General features: G+C 37.2%; 1 protein-coding gene across 10 annotated transcripts in view; it reads right to left on the bottom strand.

Moving 5' to 3' along the window:
• The window catches only part of HELZ (helicase with zinc finger), a 175,546-nt gene that overhangs the window by 59,907 nt on the left and 89,208 nt on the right, over window positions 1-26,431 (bottom strand). For all 10 annotated transcript variants that reach the window (XR_001752712.3, XM_047437225.1, XM_047437224.1 and 7 more), the window contains 6 exons: window positions 20,696-20,874; window positions 19,517-19,635; window positions 18,219-18,364; window positions 15,393-15,540; window positions 7,581-7,764; window positions 5,620-5,848 (listed from right to left, as the gene is read on the bottom strand). Coding sequence is in view for 9 of the 10 variants with exons in the window: in XM_047437225.1 (XP_047293181.1) it covers window positions 5,620-5,848; window positions 7,581-7,764; window positions 15,393-15,540; window positions 18,219-18,364; window positions 19,517-19,635; window positions 20,696-20,874 (1,005 nt within the window). In the remaining variant the exon portion in view is untranslated. The remainder of the gene's footprint in view (window positions 1-5,619; window positions 5,849-7,580; window positions 7,765-15,392; window positions 15,541-18,218; window positions 18,365-19,516; window positions 19,636-20,695; window positions 20,875-26,431) is intronic.

Genomic DNA, 26,431 nt, shown 5'->3' on the forward strand with positions numbered 1-26,431 from the left:
AAATTAAAAATTTTAAATGGAATGAATAAATAAAAAATAAGCAAATGGGTTCAGAAAAAATTTTAGACCTATATGTAAACAACAGAAAAAGTAAAAATGCTACAAAATATTAAATATGTACTTCTGACTATAAGACTAAGGCTAATAAGACAGTCATGCAGTTGCTGGAAATGTGTGTTGCCAGGAAATACATGCTGAAAAGCTGTCCTTTATTTTTATTTTTAAGAACACCAATGAAGGAATTGTGCTTTTTTTCTCATCATAACATGAGAAAATATAGGGAAGGACTATCTTATATAGCACTCAGGATCTAAAATCCATCCACTTTCCCACCCTTTTAATAAGAATAGCCACAATATTCAACTGCATATTTATCAATACAATTCTATTACATACTACATTCAAAAGAAAGGTCTTTTTAGTCTAATTGATAAAGTATCAGTTTCACAGAGTGGCATTTCAGGTTTGCGTTGGACTTCAAGACAAAGCAAAACGCTAAGGAAAGAATGGATTGACTTTTACTCTGTCTAGTTCAGTTATTTGTTTTTTCAGAGACAGGGTTGTGCTGTCACTCAGAGTGAAGGGCAGGAGGGCAGTGGCATGATCACAGCTCATTGTAACCTTGAACTCCTGGGCTCAAGCCTCTCGCCTCAGCCTCCAGAGTAGCTGGGACTGTAGTTGTGTGCCACCACACCTGGCTAAATTTTTAAATTTTTTTGTAGAGATGGGGTCTCGCTATGATGCCAGGGCTGGTTTCAAACTCCTGGCCTCAAGTAATCCTCCCACCTTGACCTCTCAAAGTGCTAGGATTATGGGCATGAGCTACTGTACGCAGCCTCTAGCTCAATTTTTAATATCAATTTCTTATTACATTTTTCATTTCCAGCTTTCACAGCCAAAATGCTAGAAGTTGCTCTATTTTTAAGCTACTTTTTAAAACTCCATACCCTGTTCCTATATCACCCTCACTGACCTTGACCGCAATGAACAGAATTTGAAGTAACATTAAGTCAAACAACCTCACACTTCACAAAAAGCTGGAGCTTGGTGACAGTCTTTGCCTACCAGAAGATTCTAGAGATTTCAAAGAAATAGCCTTCGAGTTAACGTGTACCAATTTAAAAGTAACATTAACTACTTACTATAAGTTAATCAAGTTAAACTGGCTCCAAAAGTGACCTGAAATTTGCATGTTAAATCTGACCTTTTTTTTTTTTGACACCATTGATATAGCAAAATGGTAAAGCACATGGATTCTAGAACTAGCCTGAAATCTTGACTCTACCATTCAGTAGCTGTGTGACTTCGTGCAGATTACTTAGCCTCTCTTTATATCTCAGTTTCCTCATGTGCAAAGTGGGGCGCCAGCACTACTATTATTATTATTCCTTACTATTGAAATGACATTTGTGTCTCACTTCTAAACTTTCAGGGAAATGCTTCTTTCCTTCAAAAATTCTTAGTTTTAAAGCTAAAATTTTTCCTTTTTTCTCTTTACACTGGCCCTTGAACTCCCCAATACCTTACCAAACTACTATGCATACAATTATGAAGCATTTCTGAATACAGATAATTGACAGATCACAATAGAATGAGGACAAGAATTCACCACTCTGGTTAAAGATTTCATCAATTCTCAGCCCCCTCCCTAAAACGTTAACATAATATTATGTTACCCATTTTTTTAGTACTATTGGTTTAAAAACCCAAGTGTGTATTACACTGTAATATAATTTTAGGCATTTCAAAGGATGTAACCTTATTTTTAATCACTGCCTGAACACAAAGTTTGATTTTCTTTCTCTGTTAACCTTACTTCTAGGATCACTGATAAAACACTAAAAAATCACTTGGTGTCCTTAGGTCACTGTGTGTGTGTGTGTGTGTGTGTGTGTGTACACAAATATACATATATCTCTACACATACATGAAATATGTTTATATTTTACAGAGTAAATAAAATGTGCTAAATGAAGAAATTCAGTTCAAGGGAAGACCTTCTCCAAACGCCTTGGTTTGAAAAAAGGTTATCACTCTCCTTTTAGCCTCCTGCCATTCCGTGCAGATTTATCTGAGCATATCCATCATTTCTGGGAAAGGCAGCATAACCAGAGAGAAGAATGTGGGTTTTGAAGTCAATCTGACACCTGTTTGAGTGAACCACATAATAGCTATGTGACCCTGGGCAATTTAATCTCTCTGAATCAGGCTGCCCATTTAAAATGCAAATAAAATACCCACATTATAGGGTTGTTAGGAGGAGTGAATGAGGCAATGTGTGCAAAGCACATAAACCAGCACCTGGCTCAAAGAAAGCTGTCAATAAACAGCAGCCACTATTAATACTTCTTAGCTTGGTGAGAGAGGGGGAGGATCTTCACTATATCCATTTTTGATTAACAGAAAAAAATCTGTTTAAAAATACAACAAAAAAGAATATGTAACTGATTGACTTCTGAACTGGTATAATATACACAGTAAGTATTCCTTAAAAACTTGATTGATATTTGGGAATATATTAGTTTTTTTGAAAATATTAAATGAAAAAAGCAGGAAAACAGTCCTAATGAACTCAAACTACAAAGAACTCACTCTTCCATTTTTACAGGACCCAAGAATCATATTATATTCTCTGAGCTTACTTGTACTGTGAGAGTAAATTAATATCTAATTAAATTAGTGAGATTAAAGCTTAAATATCCATATGCCCCAACTATCAATTCTTGGGCTACAGCCATGATTAAACTGTACAAATAAAGCAGACAATCAACATTGCCATGTAACTATGAAATGTATGTTTTTTTTTCACTCAACATAATATATTTACTTCCCTGAAAATATTCTGCTTAGCTTATCAATTAATGTATATACCTTGACACTTCCCAGCTGAGTAGTAAGAAACAGGCAACTGCAGACTCAGCTTTGAAGTTAAAAATTAGCCCTGGATAATTCTGAGAACATGGCCTCAGGAAGAATTATTCACCCATTTGCTCTAAGAAAGTAATGATTTCTGTCAAGACAATGGATGAAAAATGCTGATCTCATGCAATTCACAGTATAATATGATTCTTTAAGAAAGGGGTAATGGTTTCTTTAAAAATATTCAGGTTGGTAAATATATTTGGAGTTATTTATAAGGAGAGCCCAAAACTAATGTGGCTTGACACTATTCTTTTTTTTATTTTCTTTGAGACAGGGTCTTGCTCTGTCACCCAGGCTGGAGTACAGTGGCGTGATCACTAGAGCCTCAACCTCCTGGGCTCAAACGATCCTCCCACCTCAGCCTCCTGAGTAGCTGGGACCACAGGCACATGCCACCACACGCAGCTAAAGTTTGTATTTTTTGTAGAGACAAGGTTTTGCCATGTTGCCCAGGGTGATCTCAAACTCCTGAGCTCAAGCAATCCGCCCACCAGGGCCTCTCAGAGTGCTGGGATTACAGGTGTGAGCCACTGCGCCTGGCCGGAACACTATTCTTAAATCCATTTACTCCCCTAATAGTTTCTAGTTGTTTTCAACATGTGCTTTAATATATTACATTCTAATCAAATTGTATGTGCTGTCTCACTTATCAAATAATAAATACAAGCAAAAGTGGTAAAATACCACAAGCAACATTCTAAACGAAATATACTTACAATGACTAGTAAAGTAATATAAAGTAAAATTCTTAGGATGAAAGCAAAATTAGTAGACTTCTTGATATACCTGGTTCTTCTATTCATTTGTAACTCAGAATTAAGGTATTCTCGACTAGGCGCGGTGGCTCACGCCTGTAATCCTAGCAATTTGGGAAGCTGAGGCAGGCAGATTACCTGAGGTCCGGAGTTTGAGACCAGCCTGACCAACATGGAGAAATCCCATCTCTTCCTAAAACACAAAACATTAGCTGGGCGTGGTGGCGCATGCCTGTAATCCCAGCTACTCGGGAGGCTGAGGTAGGAGAATCACTTGAACCCAAGAGGCAGAGGTTGCGGTGAGCCGAGACTGCACCATTGCATTCCAGCCTGGGCAACAAGAGTGAAACTCTGTCTCAAAAAAAAAAAAAGATACTCTCCCCTCTCCAATTTGTCATTAGTGACTACAAATGCATGGCAATATATTTTTAAAGTATGAAATTAAAGATGTTACAACAGAATTGTTTACAGATAAATAAGTTACAGACCCTTCAAGCTTTGTTTTTTAAAAAAGAAATTTTTTTTTCATAAATTAAAACTCTACTTGATTCCTTTGATGATAGCTTTCCCCTATAAAGGATATTAACTTTTTGAGGGGTCTTAAATTCTAATATATGAAACTTATTCTTAAAGGTCCCAAATAGTCTCCCTTCCCAGAATTTTTCTTCCTGCTAGAACACAAAAATAGATAATAAAGTGCTGTCATTATCTATATTGTAAGAAAAAAAAACCTGATTTAAAGAGTGCCATGTCCTAATAGTTTTGTCTACTTTAATTCTAACATATCAAAAAGAAATAATTACCCAAGGCAGATTCAGGACTACCTACATCTCTTTTTACTATTCTGAACTTCCTATGACAGGTACTAGCACACTTATAAAATTTTAAGTAATCCCTAGTGTATTTCTTTCTTTTTCACAAAAGAATATTATAAATAACTGTTCGACTGCTTTTTTTTTTTTTAATGCTAGCACAGTTCTTCAACACTCAAAAGGCCAAATCTTCTATTACTGGCTTTGTACAGTTAAAATTCCAATTAACTGGTATAAGTCACAAGTGTATAAAGAAAGATTTTGGTGTGTAGGTTGATATTTTAACCATATTTAGTAGAAACTGTTCCTTAAAACTAAAGTCTAATGAATACTAATAATGCTACCGAAAGACAAGTAATGACCACGTCTAACCCCCTAATGTTAAGATCTTCTGGATTAACCAGATACAAAGAATTATCTACATTGAGAAGCCTTGAGAGAGCAAGACTACAGAAGGAAATTCATCAAAAATTAGAACAATTAAGTGAAAAAGTGAGGCACTAAGGGATATAAAAGTTAATATCCATCAAAGACAAACACATGCATGAAACCAGCTCAGGACCCCTGCTCTAGTTGTTGCTTCTTCCTGGAGCACTTTTAACCCAAATAGCTTCTCCCTCACTTCCAAGTCAGCTTCTCAGTGAGGTCTGCTCTCACCACGCTATTTACAATCACAAGCTAGTCTGCACCGTCCTCATCATTCCTAATTCCTCTTAATATTTTCCTTTCCATTCAACTTACCATGTAAAATACTATATAATATTCCTATTTAGTTTACGGTAATCTTCCTCTCCTTACCAGTAAAAAGTAAGCCCCACCAATAAAATGTAAGCCCCACAAGGGCAGAGATCTTTGTCTATTTTGTTCACTCATGTATCTTCAGAAGCTGGAAGAGTGCTTAGAACCTAGAAGTCACTCAGGAAATATCTCTTGAATAATGGCTCAATGAATACACAATTATGCATACAATAAATAGATCCAAAGTAATATGCTTTTGTGTTCCCACTGGATATCAGGCTACAATAAACCTGTTTTTAATTAGCCAGAAGGTCATATGAATAAATATACACATAGGGATACAAATCATGTCACATTTCCCCTTTAATGTCTCAACATTAACACATAATTACCTGCATCTTCCAATAGAGCACAGAGCAATGGGATCACCCACCACAGCAACCAGGGATTGTGCTCTTGTGATGGCAGTATTGAGAAGCTTGTAGTTAGATAAAAAACCATAATCTAAGTCCTCTGTGGAATCTTCCAGAAGTTGCTCTTTCTTTTTAATTGGTGTCTGTTTATGTTTACAAGTATGTCTTGTACGTACTGTGCTAAGAAACAAAACTCTGAATTGCTTTCCTACAAAGAAAATTTTTTAAGAAAAGACTTAAGATTGTCATTCTGAACCACTGATATAATAAAAGCATTGCATTTTTTAAAATGTTATTGCTAAATAACAAACATTGGCGAAGATGTGGAGAAACTGAAACCCTTATGCACTGCTGGTGAGAATGTCCAATGGTACAGCTGCTGTGGAAAACAGTGTGGCAGTTCTTCAAAAATTTAGGCAGAGAACTACCATATGATCCAGCAATTCCATGCTTACATACATACTCAAAAGAACTGAAAGGAGTGACTCAAACAGATATCTGTATATCCACGTTCATAGCAGCATTATTCACAATAGCCAAAAGGTGGAAGCAACACGAGTATCCCTGGACAGAGGAATGGATCAACAGAATGTGGCATATACATACAATAGATTATTCAGCCTTATAAAGGCATGAAATTCTGACACATCTTACAACATGGATGAACCTTGAAGGCATTATGCTAAGTGAAATAAACCAGTCAGGAAAGGACAAATACTATATAATTCCATTTATATGAGGTAGCTAGAACAGTCAAATTCATAGAGAAAGAATGTAGAAGGGTGACTGCCAGGAGGGAAGGAGGAATGGGGGCATTTAATGCATACAGAGTTTCAGTTTGGAAAGATCAAAAAAGTTCTGGAGATGAATGGTGATGACTGTTGCACAATAACGTAAATGAACTTAATGCCACAGAACTTATGTGCATAAAAATGGTTAAAATGGTCAATTTTACATCATACGCATTTTACCACCATAAAAAAATTTTTTTTAATGATACTATTGGAACCAACCTTAAAATTATCTAGTCCCAGGTTCCACCCAATACAAGGACCCTTTGTTGAAGCAGTCATCCAGTCTCTGGCCAACGAGGGCACGCACAGCTGATTTCATAAAGAAGTCTACAGAAAGTCTAGGTGTATATCATTTTTTCTTACGTGCTTCAAATAGTAACATATCTATTCCCTCACCCTATGACAAATCTCAATACAATGCTGATGTCAATCTTTAGTCTTCTCCTCTCCAGGCCAAACAATCCTAGTTTTCTCATGGCAGTGTCTTGATCATTCACTACCCTAAGTCTCCTCTGGGTGCTTTCTAATTTACTCCTAATGTTCTTTCTAAAATGCTCACCTAAATTCTGTATAATCTGGACAACACATGGTACAGTAGAACTATTTTTTGCCCATGCTCTTACTGCTGTATATTACTCTTACTGCTGGATATTACCATAAAACCTAACATTGTATTAGGCTTCAATTAGAGTTCACATCAGAGTGTTGCTTCATATATTTAAAAGCACAGATTTTATAGCAATTAATTAAATGAACATAATTTAAAAGAGTTGCTGTTAACTATAAACTTAGAAAAGTCTATACATAAAAATCTTTATGAAGAAATTCATCCTCAGATACCGTATAACAGCAGAATGTGTTATATACTATTATGACTGTAATTCACAGCATACATATACTATGTGGCATTGATATAATTATGGTCACAGAAAAGGTATATTTGTTAATACTTATTTTATTTGGATATAAAAACTTAATAAACATGTAAATGAATTCAACCTTTAATTGCCAAACCTGGCATTAAAGAACTTGATATGAAATGAACACATAACTTCAGAAAAGAGATCTTGAGTACTAAAAATCCAATGTGAACACACTTTAGATTTAAGCATTTGAATGACTGAATTCATTTCAATTGACACTTACCTTGAACATTTAGCACCCTTTCTACATTAACATCAGATAATCTCTTTTTTCGAAGTTCAGCACGTATTCTAAACACTTGATCAGCATATGGAGTCACCACACCAATACTGCCATCATCTAACTTCCCCCACGCTACTGGCCACTTCCTTCTTAACTCTTCTACACGTTCCACCACTTCAAACACCTTTAAAAACAAACACACACATACATATTAAAGTTATCACCAATGTTTGGAGAAAATAATATCGTAACTAAAACTGATTTATAAAGGATCCCATTTTAGCAGATGTCATTTAAAAAAAAAAAAAAACTACCCCTAAATGGGAGTAATGCTTTGCTGATGTGAACTGAATGAGAATATAAATTTTTCATTTACATTTTAAACAGTAAAATTCTCCAATAATACAACCAGTGAAAACATGAAAATCAGGGACAATGCTATTGGCCCCCAAGTTCCTGTGTAGGGAGGAACAAGCTCAAGTTCCTGTGTGGGAAAAAGACAGGCCATGATTCTAGGGAAGGCAAGTTCTCACAGCCCCAGTAATTCTCAGTCCACTCTCTCCAGATCAGGCCAATGAAACTAACCAACCAACTAGAAGCTTCCTGTCATCAGTGACATCACTAAGTCCCAGCAGTACAAGGTCTAACATTGTCCCCTTCCTCACTGATATAACTAAGCAGACCAGCCAACAGCCACCAATTGACAACAAACCACAGCTGGGACTAGGCCACATTTGGATCACAGAGAAAGACTTTCAGAATTCACTGCCTGCTAGTGGTACAAGTCCAGCCAAGCCATTTCATTAACCTTGCAATAAAGCAATGCCACAGTTTATGCAACTGAATTTTTCAGACCCCAATTACTGGATTATGATAGGGTTTTTAGGATAGTTTGTTCTATTTTAATTCAATGAATTGATCAAACAGTTTCAATGTCTGGCACAGTGGAGAAGGTACAAAAGTTAATAAAACATGTTCCTTGCCCGCTACTTACTGAGAAGAACTTATGGTTTATTTAGAAAAGAGAGTCATAATAAAAAAAATATATAAGGCAAGCACAAATAGAGGGTCAGTCAAGAGTCCAGGGGCATACAGAGGAAGGAGGTGTGTTTTCAAATGTCTTTAAGTACATCGTTTCTTTATTATTTACTAACAGTATCTATTTTAATTTATAATATTAAATATATTTAATAAAAATTGACAATTTTCATCCTTTGAAAAACTTGAGGTTACTGACTACGAAGCAGTTCCCATGTCCAGATACAAATTCAGTGAACTACAGAGGTAAGGACTACAGTCATCCTATCGTTATTATGATACAGCAGCAAGTGTATCACATACACAGACTACCCAGGGAAGGTGAAGAGCAAACTGGACTAAAGACATGGCATTCTCACTATCAGGAAACAGAGTAGACATACTCAGTCTACTGCAATAAGGAATAAGAAAAAGTTATCTTTACCCATGTGGTTAGATGTGGGGATAGATGAGTTGGGAGACACCTCTGCTGCGCCCTCCCACCCCACAGAGTTCCCACCTCTAAGCAACACACAACCATTTCTGCACTTTATCCTCCTGTCATGTAGTCAAAAAACAGACTTAGAATGATGATATGAGTCATTCTGGGAAACCTCTCTCCCAGAAAAACATCTTCTAAGCTGGTCAAAATTAGCAAAGACAATCATTCAAAGTCTCTAAAGACAGATCAAAGAGGTTACAAGAAATTGAGAAGCATCCATCTATTCAACAAAACCTGTAAAAACTCACTGAGAACAGTGGAAGGTTGAGGCCTACAAGCTATGGACTGCCCCCTTTCCCCCACAGCTCTTACAGAACTGTTTTAACGGCCAAGGGGCAATTCCCATCGCCCTAGCTCCCTCCTATTCCAGGTACTTTTGGCAGCTGGTAAACATTGGCAGATTTCATTTTTCACAGCTTTGTGCTGCAGAAGGCCTATGATAAGCAGTTGGTAGTAGTCAGGTGGTACCCAACCCCCATCTCCTGCTACATAGGGAGTGGGACAGTGGGTGGCAGTGCAGTCCCTCTTTCCCACATAGCTCTGCATTGCAGGAGAGCTGATCCAATGGCCTTGGCAGCCCATTGACAGTTTGCATTTTCTCTAGCTTCCTAGGACAGAAGACCTATGCTGGGTAGATTCAGCAGCCAATGAACATCAGCAGATCCCAACCTCCCCTGATGTGCACTGCAGAAGAGCCACACTTGGTAGCGGCACCAGCTGGATGGAAGCACCTGGATGGCAGCATGGATTACACACAAACATACAGCATACACAGAGCTCCTGCTCCACAGGATGGATGCAGGTTGGGAAAAGCAGTGAGGAGCAAGTTCCATGTCCTCCCCCAACAACTGCTCCATAAGTTCTGCCCAGGAGACGGTGAGCGGAAGGCTCACAAACTGGCAAAATTCTGCCTCCGCCAAGAGACCTACGGCAGCTGGATCACACCGTGGAGCAATTTATGCCCCCAGGAAGTGAAAAAGGAAAAACATTGAAATGAAAAATTTATTGCCAGGAGTCAATTGTAGATTTGAAATAACAGAAGCATGAATCAGCAAACGTGAAGATACATAGCGGTTATGCAATCTGAAGAACAGAGAGAAAAAGTAATGCAGAAAAAATAGCCTCAAAGAAGTGTGGAACACCAATTAAGCTCACCAACATGCATCTGATGGGAGAACAGGAGGAGCGCAAAGATGGAAAGGAGCAGAAAAAAGGTTCAAAGAAATAATGGCTAAAAATTTGTCATATTTGATGGAAAACACTAAGCTATACATCCAAGCTCAATGAACTTTGAGTAAGATAAACACAAGGAGACCCACACCCAGACAACCATATTAAAAACTAAAGTCAAAGACAAAAATAAAATCTTGAAAACAGCAGGAGAAAAACAACTCATCACTTACAAAGAAATTCCAGTAAGACTAACAGATTTCTCAACAGAAACAATAGAGGCCAGAAAGCAGTAAGAAAACATATTTCAATGTGCTAAAAGAAAAAATCCAACCAATTCAACCAATAATCTTATATTCTACTTTTCAAAAATGAGGGCAAAATAAAGACATGCCCAGATGAAACATAACCTAAGAGAATTCCTCACTTGCAGACTCCCCTTATAAGAAATACTAAAGGAAGTTCTTCAGGCTGAAAGCAAGTGATACCGGACAATAATTCAAATCCACACAAACAAAGAATCTTGGTAAAGGTAATTATGTGGGTAATTATAAAGACAGTATAATAACATATTTCTTCTTTCTCCTCTTAACTGGTTTAAAAAGCAACTGCAAAAACCCATATGTATATAATTGTATTGTTAGGCTATAATATATAACAACGTAATGTTTGACAGTAACGGCACAAAGGAGGTAGGTAAAAAATGACACCAGATGGTAATTCAAATCCACAAAGAGAAGTGAAGGTTAATACAGCAAACTCCATAAATATGTACTTGCCACCCTTCTCTTAGAATTTTTAAAAAACATAAAATTATATAAAGTAATAATTATAAAAATATATTGAGTTTGTTATATATAGGTATATTATATATAATAGCACAGGTTGATCTCCTGTGTCTTCTTTATTGCCTTCTTTCGTATTAAGTGCATATTTTCTAGTGTCTAGAAATATAACCTTTCTATTCCCTAGAAAGGAAGGGGGAATAGAGCTATGTAGGAGTATAGTTTCTATAGCCCATTGGAATTCATTTAATAAAAATTTGAAGTAGATTCTGATAAATTAAGATATATATTGTAAGCCCTAAAGAAACCACTAAGAAAATAACTCAAAAAATATAATTAAAAAATAATTAAAAGAAATGCCTGGGCATGGTGGTTCACACCTATAATCCCAACACTTTGGGAGGCCAAGGTGGGTGGATCACTTCAAGTAGGAGTTTGAGACCAGCCTGGCCAACATGGTGAAACCCTGCCTCTACTAAAAATATAAAAATTAGCCAGGTGTGGTGGCAGGCACTTGTAATTCCAGCTACTTGGGAGGCTGAGGCATGATAATCACTTGAACCTGGGAGGCGAAGGTTGCAGTGAGCCAAGAACGTACCACTGCACTCCAGCCTGGGCAACAGAGTGAGACTCTGTCTCAAAAAAAAGAAAAAATAATAATTAAAGGAATTAAAATGTGACACTAGAAAATATGCACTTAATACAAAAGAAGGCAATAAAGAAGACACAGGAGATCAAAAACTACATGAGACATAGAGAAAAAAAGGGCTGAGGTAAATCCAACCATATCAGTAACATTAAATGTGAATGGATTAAAAACCCCAATCAAAAGGCAAAGATGGCTGCAATTCCAGAACTTTGGGAGGCTGAGGGAGGTGGATCGCTTGAGCCCAGGAGTTCAAGACCAGCCTGGGCAACATGGCCAAACTCCATCTCTACAAAAAATACAAAAATTAGCTGGGCATTGTGGCATGCATCTGTAGTCCCAGCTACTTAGGAGGCTGAGGTGGGAAGATCACCTGAGCCCAGTGAGCTCACGGCTGCAGTGAGCCATAATCATGTCACTGCCTTCCAGCCTAGGTGACAGAGCAAGACCCTGTCTCAAAAACAAAACAAAACAAACAGGCAGAGATTTTCAAACTTTTTTTAAAAAATCAAGATCCAATAATATGCTGTCTATAGAATATGCACTTTAGATTCAAACATGTAAACAAGATGAAAGTAAAATAATAAAAAAAGATATACCATGCAAACAGCAACTATAAACAAGCTGAAATTGTTATACTAATGTCAGACAAATCAACTTTAAAACAAAAAGCTGTACTAAGATAAAGAGGGATATTTATTTATTTATTTTATTTTATTTTTTTGAGACAGGGTCTAGCTCTGTCACCCAGGCTACAGTGCGGTGGCACAATCTCAGCTCACTGCAACCTCCCCCTCCCAGGTTCAAGCCATCCTCCCACCTCAGCCTCCTGAGTAGCTGGTATTACAGGCACCTGCCACCATGCCCAGCTAATTTTTTTGTATTTTTTTTGTAGAGACGGGGTTTCACCATGTTGCCCAGGCTGGTCTCGAAGTCCTGAGCTCAAGCAATATATCGACCTCAGCCTCCTAATGTGCTGGGATTACAGGCATGAGTCACCGCACCCGGCCAAGGAGGGACATTTAAAAATGATAAAAAGAGGTCATCCTGTTAGGGAGATGTAACAATTATAAATATAGATAATTAATTGCAGATTCTCAAAACATATGAGGCAAAAACCACATTCTCCTCTATGCCTCAGGTCCCACCAAGCCCAATGAATTCATTTTGTATATCTGTACAACTCTGTCTACCTCTCAGATCACACCATCTTACGGTTATTATCCATAGCTCCTCCCTTCCAACTGAATTTTTCAAGGTTAAGAACTATACCTTGGCCCGGTGTGGCTGCTCACACCTCTAGTTTCAGCATTTTGGGAAGCCGAGGTGAGAGGATCGCTTGAGCCCAGGAGTTCAAGACTAGCTTGGGCAACATAGTAAGACCCCATCTCTACAAAATACATTTTTTAAAAAAAATTAACTAGGCGTGGTGGTGCGTACCCATAGTCCCAGTTATTTGGGAGGCTGAAGTTAAAGGATCACCTGACCCCAGGAGGTCAAGGCTGCAGTGATCACACTACTGCACTCCAGCCTGGATGACAAAGAGAGACTCTGTCTCAAAAAAACAAAGAAAAAAAAAAAACATATCTTTGGTGCTTAGTACTTAAATTGTACTTTTTTTTCACCTTGGCATTGAATTGAAACCATTTCATTACTGTGGGATATAAGTTCAGAATCAAGAAAAAAAAGAATGATCTTTCTCAGTCTCCTTCTACAATTTTAAGCATGTGAAAGAAGACACAATTTCAAATGATGTACAAAGCACAAGATACATAAAATAAAAAGCATGTTGTCTAAACAAAGGAGAATTACACACAGCACATATGCTATGAGTATTCCTTCAACTTGAGGTTCTTGAACTTATAATTCCAAACTTTTTTATTTAGGTTCATTTTGATTTTAACTCTATGTAAGACTATCTTATTTTCCTAATAGTGGAATGTAAACTCTTTTCAAATGCCCTCCTAAGTATTAGTCAGAATCTTTATAAAAGATATCATTTTCCCCTACGAATGTAACTGATGCCACTTGGTCTGCTTGTTCTATAACACAAAATAGATTTGAGTTTCACCTTTAAATTACATACCATCAAGAAAAGCCCAGAGCTTCTAAAATCATCTTACTGTCCAAATAAACCTATATTAGTATCCAAATATGCCTATACTGGTATTCAAAAATTCAAAACGCCTACACTGGTATTTAGCTGAGGTGAACAGGGTCAGTCCTTGCCCCTTGCAGGAAGAGTCCTGGAGCAATGTGTCTCAAAATTTTTGACTACAGTAACTTATGGGGCTGAAGACACTGTCTCAACAACCATGCTCTGGTGAAAGTCAAGGTGGTTTGAAATGTCTCTAAAGTTACATGTTTAATATTTAAAGGTCACACGACCTTTAAAGTGAGCTGTCTTTGTGATCTTTTAATACGAACAAATATTAAAAAAAAAAAAAAAACCTTTGAGTAAAACTGACAGTCCATGAACCGGCACCTTATTTATCCTATAGCTTATAGGTTTCCTGGGAAACACACCAGGTCACCGTGAATGAACAAGTAACCCAGGCTGAGAAACTGAGTCTCTGGCAAACATCAATCCCGCCTCAGGATCAAGGATCAGGGCTCAGCTCTGATCCCTGATGTCACCGCAGGGCCACCAAGGCTTCTGGACAGGCCCTGGTTGCCACTTCCTGTCATCCCTCCCACCCATACCATGGCTAATTTCTAGGCCAGTGGTTTCCAACTTGAGTGCAAAAACGATAAAGGAGACCCCTAAAGTTATTTTCAATATTTCAAATATTTAAAGAAAAGTTTACCTTTTCCTAAAATTAAATGGCACAGACTAACCAAAATGTCAAGTTTCTTTGCTTTTGGCTAGGATTTTATCAAGTGAGTACTGATGATTTTTTTGTACTGACTTCTAACTACAGGCCCATGAGCAATGTCTTAACGGAAAAATGAATTCCTACTACATAATAAAAGCCATTTCTTTGTAAATAATATGGGTAAAGCATGGAATTCAAGGGCAGTGTAGACTGGAGATCAAGAGCCATGCCGCCCCTAATGATATGCCATCCTCGGGCTTCCTGAAGTCCAGAACTCAACTCCCTCCTGACGGACAGAACCTTAACTCCAGGGTTTCTGGTTTGTTAGCCCCTGAAGACGTTGCCATTTTTTTGGTCTGCTGCCTGACCTGACCCTTCAAACTACTCACATGCTCTCTGAACCTAAAAAGTCAGAAATTGCAAGAGAATTATATAAGTTGGAGCACATCATGGAATTGCAACATCGCTGTCTGGGTCCCTGTGATCTCTTTGGAGCATAGAATTCTGCAATTCAAGTCTTATTCATTTAAAATGATACACCTCATTTGCATATGCACTATAAAACTTACTCAGAGTCTATTTTAGATACCTAACAATAATGATCTAATTGAGAACAATCTTGGTTTTTCTTTTGAATGAAATCATGTATTTTGTCTTACCATAAGACAAAATGTAAATCAAAGTTTTTGCTTCCCATAGGAGATTCATCTGAACAAATCAATGTTATACAAGAAAGAATAAACTTTACATACTATTTACATGTAAATGAAGTCAATATGCAATACAATGTCAACCCAAAACTTTAAATAAATGCTTAACAAAACTAGACGATGTGACTGAGAAAATGTTAACAATTTACAAAAAGAATTAAGGTACCTCTGCATTATTATAAAAAGCTGTGCTATTTTTTTCTTGTACATCTTCTCCTCGTGCTGTAAAGAAAGTTAGTGGGTAGAAATCTTTGTGTGCTGGCTGCTTCCCACTGGCCATCAGTTTGCCCTCATAGAAAAGCTCAGAGGTATAACTGCAGTAAAAGACAAAAAGAAAAAAGGGGGAAAATCTACATCAAAATTAATTTCACCCATAAGAAAAAAAAAATCAGTCGATTCTAATAATATTGCCTTATGTCCATGATTAATTTTACTCCAATCATCTAATACTTGTGATACCAAGAATTTCTCCATAAATAACAAGAGTAGGGTCCTGGCATAATATTGTTAAATGGAATGATTTTGGTAAGGTACGAAGCCAAAACAGGAAGAAATGATGACAGTTCAATACAAGATGAGACTTTATGAGGAAATTTGCTAGCCTGTATATTTCCTTGGTTAATTTTTTTTTATTTAAATGAGTCACATACAATCATGTACCACATAATGATGATTTAGTCAACAATAGACAGTACATATGATGATGGTCCCATAAGATCATAGTACTGTATTTTAACCATACTTTTTCCATGTTTAGATATACAAATACTTACCATTGTTTTACAATTATCTACAGTATTCAGTACAGTAGCATGCTTTGTACAGGTTTGTAACCTAGGAGCCAACAGGCCATTTACACCATATAACCTGTATGTGTAGTAGGCTATGCCATCTAGGTTAGTGTAAGTTCACTCTGTGATGTTCACACAACAACAAAATCACCTAATGACACATTTCTCAGAATGTGACCCATGATTGTACTAATACATGCAAACACAAAGACATACAGATGCTGGAACAATGTACACAACTGAAAGACAGTCAAGCCGTCAACTGTAAAATGAATTCGCTTTACTGATGAAGACACCATCTAGTACTTGACTCATCAGTGACTGTAGCAAATGACTGAAAATAATAAAAGAATCACATTTTGAGAGATACAATTATATCTATCCAATTGCTTTCAGGGAAACCTAAAAATGGTTTTCACATGGCTGACATAATCAATATTATTAAATTATACTAAACTTTTTTATAGTGTAAGTTTCTGGTCAGGGTAGTGACTGGAAAGGAGCACAAAGGGGCTTTTGGAGCACTGGTCATGTTCTGCTTCCTGATGTGGATTAGGGTTACATGCTGCACGCAGGTGGTGACAATCCACTGAGTTGTTGAGATATATACCTTTATAGATGCATACTATAGCTAACAGAAATACTTTAAAACTTATTAATAAGTTTCATGGTTTTGTCCCTCCCTTTCTTTCCTTTCTTCCTTTCTTTTAAAGCAGATTACTTGTACAACATAGCCAAAGACATAAGCAAACCATCATGCTGTTTGTCAATATATTTATTACAGCATGTAGCTTTTCATATAGATTATATATTTAGTCACAGAAAAACATATGCATAGCTAACAGAATCTAAAGTTTTGGTTTCCAGAATTGCCCCTGTGGTGTTATTTTATTTGTATGTGTAGATATATATAGATATAGATATAGACATAGATATATAGATAGATATATATTCATCCACAGTTCCTGGCTCATAACTACCACAGCTCTTGTTACAGTCTTTTGTTATAATTTGGGTATGTCAGGCCTCAAGAAACAGAATCTCTCTGGCCTTCTCCTGCCTTCCTTTCACCTGCCCCAAAGCAGGACTCTAATCTTCCCCTGCCTTTTTATTCTTATTTTTGTTTTTGAGACAGGGTCTTGCTCTGTCGCCCAGGCTGGAGTGCAACGGCATGATCATGGCTCACTGAAGCCTCAACCTCTTGGGTTCAAGAAACCCTCCCACCTCAGCCTCTCAAGTAGCTGGGACCACAGGTGCATGCCACCATGCCCTGCTAATTTTTTTTTTTTTTTTTGGTAGGAAGGGGGGGTCTTTCTATGTTGCTCAGGCTGGCCTCGAACTCCTGAACTCAAGCAAATCTCCTGCCTCGTCCTCCCAAAGTGATTGTGGGTCTTAAGACCCTCCACAGAGAGGGTTCCACCCTATACTCTGAGGGAAGGAATGCTGACATCACAAAGCTTCCATAAAAACCCAAAGAACTGGGTTCGAAAGCCTCTAGAAAGCTGAACACGTGGAGGTTCTGGATGGTGGCGCACCCAGGGAGGGCATGCCAGCTCTGCGCGCTTTCTCCCATACCATGCCCTAGGCACTCTTCATCTGTATCCTCTGTAATATCCTTGATAATAAACCAGTAAATGTAAATAACTGTTTCCATGCATTCTGTGAGCCACTCCAGCAAATTAAGTGAACCCAAAGACCCAAAAAGAGGGTCGCAGGACCCTCAACTTGAAGCCAGCCGGTCAGAAGTAAGGCTCAGGCTTGTGACTGCTGGGGGGCCGGGAGGGGGGCAGTCTTCTAAGCCCTCAACCTGTGGGATTGGACATTATTTCTGGATAGATGGTGTCAGAAGTGAAATGGAGGACACCCAGCTGGTGTCCCCTGCGGAACTGGTTGCTTATTTGTTGGTGGAAAGGAATTCCCTACATTCGATCATACAAGTCTTCTGTGTTAATTGTTGTGAGAGAGTAAAGGAAGAACATGATTTCAGAGTTTTTCCCAAAATAGCCCTATTCTGTGAAAAATTACAACTCTGACTTCTGAAGTTTTCTTTTAAAGACATAAAATTAAACATAATTTGCAAGACTAGGGACACTATGTAAGTGTGTTGGGAATCATCTGTCCCTAGCAGCAGTGCTGTTTTGAGTTCCCTCCTACTATCAGACCAACGAAAGTATGACACGGAGGGGGCAGTTCACACCTACTTGATGATAGCTTCATGGGAGCGGTAGTTCTCACACAGGAGAATCCTACATGGGAACTCAGCAGGGTAATGCTCATAGAGTCGGTCAAGTAATGAAACGTGAAGGTTTCTCTCCCTGGCAAACTCGCTGTAAACAAAAGGACTGAGCTGTAACAGACAAACATACAGAGAAAGTTTAACTGAACATACAAATAGTATTTTTTAACCTACTTATAAAAAATCCACTATGCTAAAACTTCTTATATACAAAACTTCAACATGCTAAATGCTGGGACAAGCACAATCAGTAATATTTTCTCTGAACCATTACCACTACTAAGAACTTGGCTAAAATTTCTAACTTCTCATTGCAGTTTACCAACACTAACCCAGAGTTTCTTTCTACACCTGACAAAGGGCTCCCCAGCATAATAATGAATAGCTACTACTTCAGTGATTCCAGGCATGCAACCCACTGTATCACTGTGGGAGTCAAACAGTTATTTCACTAAAATTGATTAATTATTTTAAATGATGAGCTGGTAGGACATACAGCCTACCACTAAAAAATCATTGTTAATAATTAACAAAACAACCCTCTTGATCTTATGAAGTATAAGGAGCCATTCATGGTTATGCCTTTTACTACTAAAGAACAAAATTAAACTACTTTAGGCAAAGAAATGAAAACAGAGCTTGTTCCTCTACATTTAACTCTCTCCTTGATGTCCCGACAGCTATATAGTATGATGTAGGTCCAATCTTAACTGCAGCAGGAGACAAAGAGCCCCAAACTGCAACCTTGTAAAACAGGTATCTTCACAGAAAAACTGTATTTCTCTTTCCTACATATAGATATTCAAATATATAAAATCACACTCTTTGACATTTTGGCTGTAATTTAAGCCCTCTATTTCCTAGTTTTCTATTACACCAAAAAAAATTACTCCTTCAGGTAAACAAATAATAGAGACAGGAGCTGGGGAATTACAATTCCCCAGGATCCTACAGGAATGATCATTTAAATTTCACTTCACAAAAAAAAGTAAGAATCAGATATTCATACTATAAAGAACAGAACTTAAATAAATAAACATGAAAATTATAACAGTGACAGACTATCCAAAAAAGAAAAAAGAGTAGCAGAATAGTAATTTTTCTTCAGAAATAACAGTATTTTTCACTATTAGTACAGAACTATTTGAAGTACTAAAGTTATAATGCATGGCATAATGTCATAGGATGTTTTAGAAATAGAATATTAAACATCAAAATATAATTAAAAGTTACTTTCAACACAGCAACTCAGAGGGCACTTACCTGCATGTGATCACCAGCCAAGACAATCCGAGTGTTTTGAGTTGCTAATGCTAGAGGCATAATGGTTTCACACTCCATGGCCTGGGCAGCTTCATCTAATAGAATGTGTGTAAAAAACCCTAGAAAATGCAGCATAAACACAGGATAGCACGCTAGAGCAGCAACAAAGGCAGAAGGACTATAGTTATTTTCTTTTCTGCTAAGTAAAGAGTTTAGTTTGCTAATCTAAGAGTATTGAGTACTTTTATTTATTTATTTTCTTTCTTTTTTTTTTTTTTTTTTTTTTTGAGACAGGGTGTCACTCTGTCTCCCAGGCTGGAGTGCAGTGCTATATGATCACAGCTCACTGTAGCCTCGGGCTCAGGTGATCCTCCAACCTCAGCCTCCCAAGTAGCTGAGACTACGGGCATATGCCATAAGGCCTGGCTAATTTTTGAACTTTTTTGTAGAGATAAGGTTTCACTGTATTTCCCAGTCTGGCTGAACTCCTGGCCTCAAGTGATCCGCCTGCCTCGGCCTCCCAAAGTGCTGGGATTACAAGCATAAGCCACCACGCCTGGCCCCAGATTTGTACTGCTTTTTGATGGTTAAGTTTTGCCATATTTATCAGAACAACTTCTTGACATCTTACATCTGTACTTCACATAACACTAGTTTGATTTTACATGGTTCCTGTACTCAAATATAACAATCTTAATAACATGCCATAATAAAACCTATCATAATTATCATCTCTACAGTATATAATGCAAAAGCATTTTATAACAAAAATCTGAGAAAAGTGTAAAAGAAAAGGAAAACACCAACACTCTCCAAATTGGAATTCTTCATATGATCAATAATAAACATCATCTGACCAACTAGAGAATAAATGGAATAGCAGTCACTAAAATGTCTGAACTAGAGGCTGGCAAATTTTTCTTCAGTAAAGAGCCAAACAGTATATATTTTAGATTTTGTGGACCATATAATGAATCTCTGCTGCAACAACTCAACTCAGCCACTGTAACACAAAAGCATCTATAGACAATAAATAGGTAAATAAATGAGCCAGTAAAACTTTATTTACAAAAACAGTCAGTGAGCCAGATTTGGCCCACACACTGTAGTTTGCCAATCCCAGTCTAAACTGAATTCATAAGCCCTAAACTTGTGAGACTGTGTCTTGAGTCAGCATACCAGGTTCAAGGTCCAACTGACAGAGGTACTGGGAAGTATTCAAGGTAACAACCACCACTCGATGTTTAAGAATATCTTCTTTCTGGGGCATCTGAAAGGTGGAATGTGCGCTTGAGATCAAACAGTACTGATGCACAACTGGGTGGACAGTCTTTACCCAGCGATTTCTGAAATATACCCTGGAAAAGAAGAAAATATTTCTGATTTACATTTACTAATTTCTTAACAGTATCTAGTTATTAAAACACTGACATTGTTATTTTAAGATGGTAATATCTGAAAAGTTACAAATGAATCTGGTAACCGTTAGCACTCTATTGAATTAGAATTTAACACACAATTGCCACTATAACCACTGTGACTCTCTACCAAAAAAATGACAGACATAGAAAGTATATGCAGTACCACAAAATAAACACCTAATTATTTTTAAGTGTTCAGAGTAATCTTGCAACAGAATGGCACATAAACGTAAGATTTATAAGCACTACAATTTTTTAAGTTCAAAACATTCCCATTCTGGAATTATCTTTTTCTAGAACGTTCTTACAAAAATACATTGACTCATATTTTAACTATTTATGCTAACAAAAAACAGTGAATTGCATACTTATAACAGGAATTCAAAGGTTATTTTCATTTTATTTTAGAATATATTCTTATACCTATACTTAAGTAGACCTCTGTCTGAGGTTCTGGAAATTTAAGAATAAATTTAAAGTTTGAACAACTGGAAAGTCTTAAGTACTTCCATTATTTGCAAAAGAAAAATATTAATAGGCCTCACGCAATGGATTATTAAAATGACACAGAAATGACTCATCCATCCATCTACTCATCCACCCACCCATCTCTAACCTACCCATGTAACAAAGATTCATTAGGTATCCACTATGCTCCAGCACACAGGCAGATCACATAGGGCTTGTGAGCAATCCTTGGGTTTACTCTGAGTTTGATGAAAAGCCAACAGAGAGTTCCAACAGGGCAGTGACATGACATGACTTATTTTGTTAAAGGACTATTCTGTTTCTCTGGGCAGAACATATATGGTGGGGGTGGATAGCGGTGTGCTGGTAAATATTTTAACACCCGGCTCCAGGGCTAGGAAGGGGAGAGGATTCCGGTTTGTAGTGTTTGCTGATTTTTGTGGTGTAAAACTGTCATGGTAATTTCAAGCTACCAGCATTTCACTGAACATGAACCTGAGAAGTCGTACACGTGATTAGCTCTAACAAACCAATACAAGTTGGCTCCAACACAACACTGAGCGGCACGGAGGAAGGAGCAGAGGGTAGAAGCAAGGAGACCAGTTACAAGGTTACTGTTAAGAGTGCAGACAAGAGCAGATGGTAGCTTGGATTAGGCCAACAATAGAGATATGAAAATGGTCAGATTCACTAGGCATTTCGAGAGTAACGCCAACAGAATTTACTGATGAACTAGAAGTGGAATTTGAGAGAAGGAATGATTCCACGCCTTTGAAACTGGATAAATGGTGATGGCGTTTGCAAAGGTGGTAAAAAAGAGGAACGGATTTGGGGTGGGAATTCAGAATTTCGTTTTGGGCATATTCAGTAGATATCCAAGTGGATATATCCAGTAAGCAAGGCAATACATAAGTTTGGAGTTCAGGAGAATGCCTGGGGCAAGATAGCTACAATTGGGATAATACTAAACCTTGAGACTAGATGAGATTACCTAGAAAATAAGAGTAGATTTAAAAAAAAAAAAAAAAAACAACTAGTGGAAGGAAGAATGACTGATGGACCTCTCCAACATTCAGAAGCTGGGAAAGGAGCCTGGGAAGGAGCAAAGAAATAGGAGAGAATTCAGGAGAGCATGGGGTATTGGAAGCAAAATGAAGCAAGTGTTTCAGATAGAAATAGGAGTAACTGTGTTAAATGCTGCTAAGAGGCTACGTAAAATGAAGACTGACCACAGGACTTAACAACAAGGAAACCAATATGATGAACCTCAATATGATGGTTTTAGTGTAAAATTACAGATGGAAATCTGATTAGCTTGAGCTCAAGAAAGAAAGAGAAGAGAGGAGGTAGTGCCAGGGAGTATATATAGACAACTGTCTGGATAAGTTTTGCTTAAAGGCTGATGCAGGTCGGGTGAAGGTGAGTTTTTGTTTTGTTTTTTTAAACAAGACACAATAGTATATTTTCATGCTGTACAAAGAAAAAAGTATGCAGGAAAGAAGAAGCTGTGTATCCAGGAAAGGATGAGAGCTCGTTCACAAGAGGAGAGGTTGGCCCCTAGAAAAGAACAGTTTAGAATGGGAGGGAAAGTAGTTACTAAGGAGATGCAAGTCAGATGCTCTATCAAAGGGAAGATGTGGGCATTCTCTTCTGATGGCTTCTACTCCGTCAGTAAAATTACAAAGATCATCAGATGATTGTTATTTTCATCACTATTATTCCTCTTCCCTAGTTAGGAAAACCAAAGCCCAAAGGGCTTACAGCCAGGATTTAAACCTGTTCTTCCCCTCTCTAAGCTTCATTTCTTATTTCCAAAATGAGTATAATAATTCAACTTCTTAAGGATTTGGGGAAATCAAATGAGATAACAGATGTATAATATGTAGCATAATGCCTGGCACCAACAAACAGAAGCCCCCCCACTTCCCTTCACCCACAGCAAAGCTGAAACTAAAATCAGCATTTCTAAACACTCAGTTAATATTCAATGTACACTGCACAAATGCAAAAAGGTAGCATCATGATATGAATATAGGCAATCAAAATAATTATTTAAAAGGTATGTTGTTTACTCCATCTAAAAGCACATATTGTGCAAAGTATTTTATTTAATAAGTCATCATATGGAACAAAAGGATAATTTCTACTCAGCTTCCAAAAAAGTTTAAGAGCAAAATCTGGTGCTTAATTGGCATGCCTTCAGTTAGTCTAAAATTTTGGTAATAATTTCCTTTTCTCAAAGAGCCACCATTTGTTACTAGGCTCTTGTCTCTTACTTTGTATTAATGTTTCTCAATTTTATGGCCTCTGCACATTTTACTAGAGCAAACTTAAATTATTTTTGGAAGCAAACCAAAAAGGTTTTTAAAAAGAGTAATTATTAATATTTTGGCCAGGCGTGATGGCTCACGCCTATAATCCAAGCACTTTGGAAGCCTGAAGTGGGTGGAACACTTGAGGCCAGGAGTTCAAGACCAGCCTGGCCAACATGGCAAAACCCCGTATCTACTAAAAATACAAAAATTAGCCTGGCATGGTGGCAATGCACCTGTAGTCCCAGCTACTTGGGAGGCTGAGGCACAAGAATCACTTGAACCCAGGAGATGGAGTCTGCAGTGAGCTGAAATCACACCACTGCACTCCAGCCTGGGTTACAGAGTGAGACTCTGTCTTAAAAAAAAATAATAATAATTTAAAAAGTAAAATAAAAGAGTAATTCTTTTTATTGTCTGATACTAATTACTAAGTAATTTTTTGTTTCTTTGTTTTTCTTAGACATTGGAATTCTATTATAGTAATAAATCTTGAAAATTGCTATTAAAAGTCAGCTTTAAATATTGATTTCTTAAATAAGAAAAATACAAGCCTGAAGTTGATAATCATTTTTTATTAAAAATCATATCAAAACATGTTTTTAAATTCTTCGAACCAAAATTGAGTTCATTTTTCCATTTTTCATTCAATTCAAGACCATGCTTGTAAGTGGTATTTGGTGAGGGGGAAATTTTACACAATGTAGATAATCTAGACTTGGCAGAAGAATTATAACCTCTATATCATAAGCTATGTATAATCATTTTCTTAAAAGGCAAGCACTGGCTCACATAAAAACATCTCTGGATGCATCAAAGTTAATCATGAAAAAAATCCTAATGATTTCTGATCCTGGCCTACCTGTCTAAATATCAACTTACTGGTAAGCAAATACTAAAGAAAAACTATGCAGTTATGAGCCACATTTTAAAACTAAAATTCCACCCATCCCCCAGATGAGCTATTAAATCTGATAGTAGAATAAAGGCATTTTCAGATATGCAAGAGCTAAAAAACATTACCTCTTACGAACTTTGTCAGAAGGGTTGAAAGCACTAGTTAAGTGTGTGTACAAAAGGATGTGCACCATCAAAACAAGGTAGAAAATCAAGAAAGAGGAAGACCTAAGATCCAGGAAATGGGATCTAATATAGGAGAGAAGAAAAAGAAATTCCAAAATAATGGCAAAGAGAAGTATCAGCATAACAAAGAACAACCAGTTCAGAAAGGAGGAGCAAGTGAAATCCAGAAGGGGAGTTTCCAGGAGAAAAAAACAGCACTGACAAATTATCTAAGAGCTGTAACAATGAAGACTTGTTGTGGCAGGTATTTACAGGGTTACTTAGGGTGTAAAGACCTGATTAGATGTTCAAAGAAAATAAAGCAAATGAAAAACAGTAAGTATTATTAATGCTAGAACAAATCCAAAAATGTATATGAAAGGAAATATGCATATTATTTGTTAGGAGCAAATAACTTACAGGATCATAATAATAAACACTAAAAATGAAGCTACCATACACTTTGGGAGGCCGAGGCGGGCAGATCACCTGAGGCCAGGAGTTCGAGGCCAGCCTGGCCAACATGGCAAAACCCTGTCTCTACTAAAAACACAAAAGTTAACTGGGCGTGGTGGCGTGTGCCTGTAATTCCAGCTACTTGGGAGGCTGAGGCAGGAGAATCGCTTGAACCTGGGAGGCAGAGGTTGCAGTGAGCCCAGATAGCCCCACTGCACTCTATTTTGGGCAACAAAGCAAGACTCTGTCTTAAAAAAGAAAAAAAAAAAAGAAGCTACAATAGAAAGTCAACAAATATCCAAAACCAAATTAAGACATAACAGTTGATATATGTATGTGTGTGTGTATATATTATACATATATACACATATAATTTTTATTTTTATGTATTATATATTCATAATTTGTTATATAATATATACACACATAATTTTTATATATTATATTTATAATTTAGAAAAATGGAAGTATCAAAAGAAACTGCTAAAAAAGTAAAAAATTCCCTTGGGAATGATATTTGGTGAACAATGGCTAGGTTAATTAAAAAAAACAAAACATTTTTTGCTACCAACTTTAAAATACAACATGACCTTTTGTAATAGTGTATGCATGTGATTTTTTAATAAATATAAATACTAATCTAAAACAAAAGCTAATTATTTGAGTCATTATGAGAAAAAAAATTACCAATATTTGAATTTAACCTGTCACTTACAGGTGGCTTTTTAAAATTAAAATTATCTAGTTTCTCCCATATAAAAAGAATATTTACTTAAATCCTCATATTCTCCCAGCCACTGCCCAACCTCTCCCCTCCTTTCACAGCCAGGCTTCTTAGAAGTATTATCCAGATTGTTCTCTCCAGTTACCAACCTCCTATTCACTCCTCTAAACATTCAACATGGCTTACCCTCCATCTAATCAAGGGACATAAACAACTTCTACATCACTAAATCACATCGATGTTTCCAGGCCCAGCGAGTTACCTGACTTGGCAGCATGCAAAGTTCCGCTGTTGCTCCCTCCCAGGAACTCTCCCCTCAGCTTCCATGACTCAAGCTTTCTCTGCTTCCCTTCTAACTCTCCAGCCCTCCTCTCCCCTAACAATCTCATCTATGCTCACGCTTCAATCACCACCAATACCCTAGTGACTCACACATTTTCTCTCTCCAGCCAAGACCTCACCTCTGAGCTCC

Source organism: Homo sapiens, chromosome 17 (assembly GCF_000001405.40).
Source record: "Homo sapiens chromosome 17, GRCh38.p14 Primary Assembly".
NCBI classification, from domain to species: Eukaryota; Metazoa; Chordata; class Mammalia; order Primates; family Hominidae; genus Homo; species Homo sapiens.